Below are 8,691 nucleotides of genomic sequence, written 5' to 3'. Positions count from 1 at the left end.
TTAAAATATTTAATTGAGAAATGAGGACTAAATATATTCAATGTGTACAACATGATGATTAGGTATAAGTACACATTGTGTAATAATTACAATTAACACATCCATCACCACCTATGCTGTGCATGGGATTCCTAGAACTTTTCATTGTCTCACTGAAAGTTTGTGCCGTTTGAGCAACATCTCCCCATTTTCTTTTGCCTCCAGACCCTTGAAACTACCATTCTACTCTCTACTTCTATGAGTTTGACTTTTTTTAGATTCCACATATAAATGAGGTTAGACAGTATTTGTCTTTTTATGTCTTGCTTATTTCACCTAGCATAATATCCTCTATAGGCAGAAGTTCTGATTAGAAGATATACAGATGGCTAATAAGCATGCATAAAGATGTTCAACATCATTAGTCAGGAGGAAAAGGCAAATCAAATTTGCAATCATACTATTAGGTAACCCATTAGAATGGCTAGAATTAAAAAGCCAGGCAGGGTGCAGTGGCTCATGTCTGTAATCCTAGCACTTCAATCCCAAGATGGAAGGATTTCCTGAGCCCAGGAGTTCAAGACCAGCCTGGGCAACATGGTGAGGCCCTGTCTCTACAGAAATTTTTTTAAAAAAGTATTTGGTTTTGGTGGCACACACCTGCAGTCCTAGCTATAAGAGAAACTGAGGCAGGAGGGTTTCTGGAGCCCAGGAGGAGGCTGAAGTGAGCCGTGTTTGCACCATGGCACTCCAGCCTGGGTAACAGAGCAAGACCCTGACTCAAAAAAGAAAAAAAAAGTAAGATAATAACTGTTAGAGAGGTGTGGAGTCAGAGAGTGAGAACACTCATATGCTGCTGACGGAGAAGTAAAATGTTACAACTGCTTTCTAAAACAGTCTGGTAGTTCCTTAAACAATCACACATAAAGTTACCATATGTCTCAGCAATTCCACTTCTAGATATATTCCCTAGTAAAATGAAAACATATCTTTATACAAAAAGTTGCACACAAATATTTATAACGTCATTGTACATAAAAGCCATATGGTGGAAACAAACCAAATGTACATCAACTGACAAATGGATAAACAAAATGTGTTATATCCATATATTGAAATATTAGTTGGCCATAAAAAGGATTGAAGTACTGATACATAGTGCAATATGATTTAACTATGAAAATATTAGGCTATATGAAAGACAGTCATAAAGACCACATATTATATGAGTACATTAAAAGAAAAATTCACAGAGACAAAGTATTTAGTTGTGATTTCTTAGGAGGTATTGAGGAGATAATAGCTAAAGGTAAAAGGGGTATTTATTTTTGGAGGGTGATGGATATTTCAAAATTGATTGTGTTTGTGGTTGCATAATGCATTGAGTGCTACATTTTAAATGGGTGAATTGTGTTGCATATCAATTATAGCTTAAAGCTGTTACAAAAATATGCAGGATAACAATATGTTACATATGTTAACTTAGTATAATAACCCAATGTAGTAACATAGGCTTTGTCAATAGCACAGGCTAGACTATGGTCTGTAATCATAACTCAGTCTACCTGCTCACTAACTCTAATCTTTCTCTGTTTCTTATTTGAAAAGTAGATATGATATGAATTATTTTCTCAAGGGGAGTGTGTGTGTGTTTGTGTGTGTGTGTGTTTGTGTGTGTGTGTATGTGTGTGTGTGTGAGAGAGAAGTAATCCATGCAAGGACTTAAGAATATGTCTGGCACGTAATAAATTACAAAAATATTTGCTTTGATGATGTCATTATTAATTCAACAGAGGAGTTCTGAGTTTTAGAAACTAAGCAACATGTTATGGGACTTCTTTTGAGGGAGAAGGAAGTAATATTAGTAAATATCAAGCAAATGTTTACATTATAAAAGAATAACAAATTATGTTGAGCAGGGGATTTGAAAAACACTGAAGTTTGGATTAAACTTAAAAAAAAAAAAAACCAATTTTACTGTCTCTGTATCTGATCTTTGTTGCTAAGATGTCCAAAAAAGAAAGGTATTCCTCCTGAGTTCTGCTAATTATTTCTGAGAACTAATAATCTTTCTAATGTAGCTTACTAGCTTGAATCTGTTTGAACTTGTCATATTAGTGATCCGTTTTAAGATCACTCCTTTAAATCTGCTCTTGTTTGTCACGAGATACAGAAATACATATAAATAGATATAGCTATAGATATAGATAGATATCATATTGATACTACAAAAAAACAAAGGGTGTAAACGTTGATAATAATAAACCTACTAAAGAAACTGAAAGATATGCAAGTTGATCTCCTGTGTCTGGATCTAGTGGTATCTTAGTAATTATCTCCTTAATTTACCATGCTGTCACCAGATAACAATGAAATCTCAACCTCTTTTTATATCCTATCCAACTTGACATCTCTGAATGCATTTTATTGCTTAGAAAAAAATATATCATATGTAGTAATGTTTCTGAATTGCCAAATTATGATTAAACCATAAAAGCTACATTCAGGCAGTTACAAAGGTCAGACACAAACCTCAAAAGCAGGGCTATTATGAGTGAAGCAGAGATTTTATTCCTCAGTTACTCTTTTATGCCTCTCTGTTGCATCCCATGATAAACAAACAACAAATCAATATTTGAAGGTCTCTGCCTATAAACAAACCAAAAAACCCTTCATTAAAATTATGCTGGTTAACTCTTCCTACTCACAAAAAACGATATGATTTAATATATGCATATACACACATACACATATTTCAGAAAAAGAATAAGCATTTGGTTTTGGTTTGTCTTTCTTACAAATATGTAAATAATTAGAAATTATTCTGTCAATTACAAAAGTACAATAGTTAAAATGGTAATTAATTTAAAAATATTTTTTACATCTCAATAAGAAAAATTCGAGGAGAAGCATACAGATTTCTAAAACACTAGTCCTTATTTGATATTGGAGCTTGGTAGGAGGGAATTGTAAAAACCTGTGACAACCTGATTTAAACTGGATTTATTTATTTAAGAAAATGATCACATGCATGGACCTCAAACTGTGACATGGTGCAATGTCTGCCACCCCAGCAGTTTATCAAGTCTATTCCTGACTCTTTGTTTACTGTCTTACCCTTCCATGTGTTTCCCTAGTAAAGCTGCCTTCTTGTTTGGTAAACAAAGCAGTGAAGACAGAGAAATGGACTTTCTCAAATACTGGAGGCCTATTCTTGTAGGCCTTATAACATCAAATACTGACGTTTTCTCAAATACTGGAGGACTCCAGTATTTCTCAAATATTGGAGAAATCCTTTCTCAAATACTGGAGGCCTGCTCGTAGCAGGTTAAGCTGCTATTATCTTATCAGGTATTAAAATGCCTTAACTTTTAAATCTCATTATATGCATCAGTGTTTTTGTGAGTTTGTGTTTTAAATAATCTGTGGATGAAAAATATGATATGTTCAAAATGTTTGCAACACATAAATAGCTTAAGATAGTATTTTTAAGAGGTAGTACCTTATGAAGAAAACAGATAGGTACATAAAATCCAAACTTGTTTGAATCATTCTGATCATTTATTACCTAAATAAAGGAAGAGTTTCATCTCTAAGTTGCCACTCCTTTTCTCTAGAATAAATGCCATTTACCTTCTGTTTTTCATATTTGTGAAGGATAGAGATAGAACAACTGCAGACATTGGATCACAAATTTCTAAATCCTGTTTTGTTGCCAAGATTTTTTTTACCGTCCTTTTACAAAGACTGCAAGGTAGACATAAGCATAGAGGAGACTTTCTTATTATTTAATTTTCATTATTTTTCCCCATTTCTTTAGTTTTTTTTTAAATGCGCTACTCCAATGGTAAAGAAAATCCTATTCAAGGAAATTCTTTCTAAGTCATAGGCCTCTGGGTGGGGCAACTGCTGGGTGAAGGTAACTCCAGGCTGTTCTCCTGCAAGCAGCAGGACAAGAAAGAAAGAAATTCCTCAGACACCAAACTCTAATGAGGAATAAAAAGAAGCTGTGCCTATATTATGGCCTAAGAAATACCCTTACTATTTGGCCACCTTATTTGTCTATATATTTCTATATGAAATCAATAGAAATGAGTACTTGAGGTCAACCTAGAATTGTCCCTAAAGGCCAAGTCAGTTTGTTTTCTCTCATTAATAATTATAAGCTGTTAATAATTAATAGGAGTTAACTGCTCTCTCTGAGGGCTATTATACCTCTCAGAAATAAAGAACTACAGAGTTTCAGAAACATCTATCCTGGCCTTTGAATCAATTTGAGAATTATGTTACCAACACTTTGGCCCACTAAAATTTATATGAATCTGTTTCCTCTGAAGAATCTTAAATGGGACACAACAGAATGTTAATCAACCTCACCTCAAGACTTCACATTCCATTAGAAAAGTCAGTTGATGAGTTATTCCTGATTTGAATCTTACATTGCTATAATGTCCTAACAAACTCAAAGTTATATAATACCACCACTTAGATTCCATGGAATTTAATAATATGAAACCTCACTATTAGGTCAACTATTTTATATGGTAAAAATAATACTCCAGAAAATAAATTTCTCAGTGTAATTTACATGCATTTCCTCAATTATTTTGCTATCTAGCAGCAATGGCAAAAACAAGTCTCATGTGTCTCATTGACGTGGCTGAATCACAATTCCTCAATCTCATTTTCAAACAGTAAGCTACTGAGATAGCATCTATCTGCCGGGCTGGATTTTAAAGGAAAATATATCAGTAGGGCACTTGATGTGAAAAAAAGGAGTGATTGTAAGGAAACTAGTGATGGTGGTATTAGTGGTTGATTTCAAAATCACTCTGTATTTTCTTAGTATAAATTGTGCACAATATTTTTTTCCATGATAGAGGTAAGCTTAAATAAGAGTTTTAGTTAATCTTTTTGTCAAACTCACAGACTCTTAAAATTCTAAGTTCACTCCCCAGTGCCACACCCCCCAGTAGAAAAATTCATAAAAGATACCTAAATAAGAGAAAAGTTCCAATAAGCCTTAGGGCCAAGCTATTGTTACTGTTGGTTTGTGTTTGTTGTTGTTATCCCCTGTTTACACAATGTCTTCCTAAGGAAGATTTGGCTATGAAGGAATTGTCCATCCCTGACTATATTATTAATATAATAACCACTATACAGGTGGGTGCTGGGGGGCAGCTGGAAGGAAACAGAAAAAAATATTAGAAACCACACACCAAGAAAGAGAAATGCTTCCAGCACCAGGGCCCAATAAACACCTGTCTCTTGACTGATCTGCACAAACCTTTGTTATTCATGAATAGGATGTGAATAGTGGTATGGAACTATGGAGCTTGCAGTTAAATGACTAGTCTTCTGTGGAGACCTAGTGTGTTGTTATCAAGTGGGCATCTGGTTGTCTAGTTCTGAGGACTCATGATGATTTTTGAAATATTCTTCCTTTTATTGCAAAATTCTGTTCATCAACTGTTAAAATTATAACACGGTACTTCCAAACTAGTTTCAGCCAGGGCCTTACTCTACCTGTGGGCATTATGCATGCTTTCTCCTTGGAAAGACAGCAGCTTCATATATGTCCAACAAGGGATCCTTAGATAAAATGACAAAGTGACAAAATACTTGTGGGTAATACTGGGATAAAATGTATATTGATAAAATATACAACCCCTATCAAACTATGCTTGATGTCATGCAGTAATGGCTTCTGTGTCTCTCATAGATACAATTTTAACCTCCGATACTCAACAGCTCAAATTTGAACACCTAAGCTAGGTCACCAAAAGAGACAGAAAATTTGGATATTTGGAATATTTATCAATAAAAGGAACAGAAATAATGAAACAAATATACCTCCAAAATCATTCCTCTTGCATTTATCTTGTGTAAAACAATGGATGGCTTGACGATTCCAACTGACATAGAGGCATTTATTTTTCAAATATTTATTATAAATATAAAACACTCAAAGTCAGGAGGAAAGAGAAAATTGATAGAGTTGTCATATAGACTGGGATAAAATTTGAAAACAAATTTGAAAGTTAAAGGGGCATCTATTTCTAACTTGAGAGTGTAGTGGGCTGAGTCAGTCATCCTGTAATGCAAATTCACAGATAACTTGTTTTAACATTATTGAAACAAGAGTAATAAACTCAATGATAATTCCACTTCAACTTCACATTATACATTAAGAAGTACAAATAATGCATCTCCCTTTTTAACTTCCAAACAACTCTTGCAATATTGGTGCTAAAACAACAAAGAAAAAATAATTACAGACCAGTTTTTGTTTACAAAACCATAAGGACTACTTCTATATAATAGAATGTAGGGAAGTAAATTTTTTGCATATTTAAATGCAAATATATGCAAAATTTTATATGAATATAAAAGGATCTTAGCCTCCACACTTTTCTGTTTTCCATTACTATTACATCACAGAATAAAATATGCACAAAGTCAGAAGAGAATATGCCAAGCTGCTTTATTCTTTTTGCAAATAAGAAACAAACTGCAACTCAGTAAAGATTAGTAAGTTGTATGATTACTTTAAAGGTGAATTAGACACTAGATTGGTGGATAGACTAAAGACCTCTAAAATATTTATTAAGGAAAAAAATATGTATAAACAAAACTGAAAATGTAACAAATGTATGAAAGATTTAGACATAGGAAAACTTTTATCACTGAGCTGCAGGAGCAAGACAAGTCAAGAAAAATGATACAGGCCAGAACTTTTAGAAACTCCAAGAACCTTAAATAGAAGTAATGGATAGTCACTGGAGTATTGTAAAAAGGGAATAGCTTGCTCTGGTGTCAGTTTTAAGAAGACCTCTCCACTGCTGTGTGAATGACAGAACCAAGAGGAGAGAGGCGGATTCACCAGTATGGAGTTGCCTCAGTTATTCAGCCACATGGTCACCAAAACTGGTTGTTTAACCATCAAGTTAGATGATAAAAGATGACTTCAGCATACACGCTGGAAAATATTTATTTTTGAATGATATACATGACTACTAGCTTGATCAACATGCGTATTCTAAATCAGGTACAACAATGTAAGAAGAATGTAAAATGAATGTATATAATTATAAATATATAATTATATATCATATATCACATATAATAATTATTAAATTATTCTTAAACCAATCATAAATTGAAAACATCCTAAGTCAAAAATACATTTAATACATCTAATCTGCTGAACGTCATGGCCTAGCATAGCATACTTGATTGATTGATTGATTGATTGATTGATGGAGACAGAGTAATGCTGTGCCACCCAGGCTGGAGTACAGCAGCGTGATCTCAGCTCACTGCAACCTCTACCTGCTGTGTTCAAGTGATTCTTGTCCCTCAGCCTCCCTAGTAGCTGAAATTACAGGCCAGTGACACCACACCCAGCTAATTTTTGTATTTTTAGTATATATGGGATTTCGCCATGCTGACCAGGCTGGTCTCAAACTCCTGGCCTCAAGTGATCTGCACATCTCAGCCTCCTAAAGTGCTGGGATTACAGGCATGAGCCACCATGCCCAGCTGTGTAGCCTACTTTAAATGTGCCCGGTACACATATATTAGTTTACAGTTGGGTAGAAATCATCTGGCAACATAGTACCTTGTAAAGTATTGGTTGTTTACCCATGTGATCACATGGCTGACTGGGAACTGAGGCTGTCTACCACTGCCCAGGATAGCAAGAGATTATCATAAAGTAAATCATATCATTATCCCAGGAAAAGATCAAAATTCAAAATTTGACATATGGTTTCTACTAAATGCAATTTGGTTTTGCACCATGATAAATTTGAAAAATTGTATTAATAAGTTGAACCATCATACGTCAGAGACCGTCTGTATGTATAATTATAAACATATTTGTATTTTTGCTTATTGAATTGTTTGTTTCTTATAGGTTCTGGATATTAGACCTTTGTCTGATGCATAGTTTGCAAATATTTTCTCCCATTCTGTCAGTTGTCTTTTACTCTATTGATCATTTCTTTTGCTGTGTAGAAGCTCTTTAGTTTAATTAAGTCTCACTTGTCAAATTTTGTTTTTGTTGCAATTGTTTTTGAGGGCTTACTTATAAATTATTTGCCAGGGCCAATGTACAGAATGTTTTTCCCTAGATTTTCTTCTAGTATTCTTATAGTTCGAGGTCTTACATTTAAATCTTTGGTTCATCTTCAGTTAATTTCCACATATGGTGAAAGGTAGGGACCCAGTTTCATTCTTTTGCATATGGCTAGCCAGCTACCCCAGACCATTTACTGAATAAGGACTTTTTTCCCCAATACTTATTTTTGTCAACTTTGTTGAAGATCAGGTGGCTGGAGCTATGTGGCTTTATTTCTGGGTTCTGTATTCTGGTTCATTTGTCTACGTGTCTATTTTGGTGCCAGTACCCTGCTGTTTTGGTGACTGTTGCTTTAAAGCTTTAAAGTATAGTTCAAAGCCAGGTAATAAGATGACTCCAGTTTTGTTCTCTTTGCTTAGGATTGCTTTGACTCTTTATTGATTTATATGTATTTTAGAATTGTTTTTTGTCTAATTATGTGAAAAGTGATGTTGTATTTTGACTGTAATATAATTGAATTTGTAGATTGCTTTGGGCATTATGGCCATTTTAATGATATTGATTCTTCCAATCCATGAGAATGGAATGTTTTTCCATTTGTTTGTGTTATCTATGATTTATTTCAGCAA

This window comes from Homo sapiens, chromosome 13 (assembly GCF_000001405.40).
Source record: "Homo sapiens chromosome 13, GRCh38.p14 Primary Assembly".
Lineage (NCBI taxonomy): Eukaryota > Metazoa > Chordata > Mammalia > Primates > Hominidae > Homo > Homo sapiens.
This window is presented reverse-complemented; position numbering follows the sequence as displayed.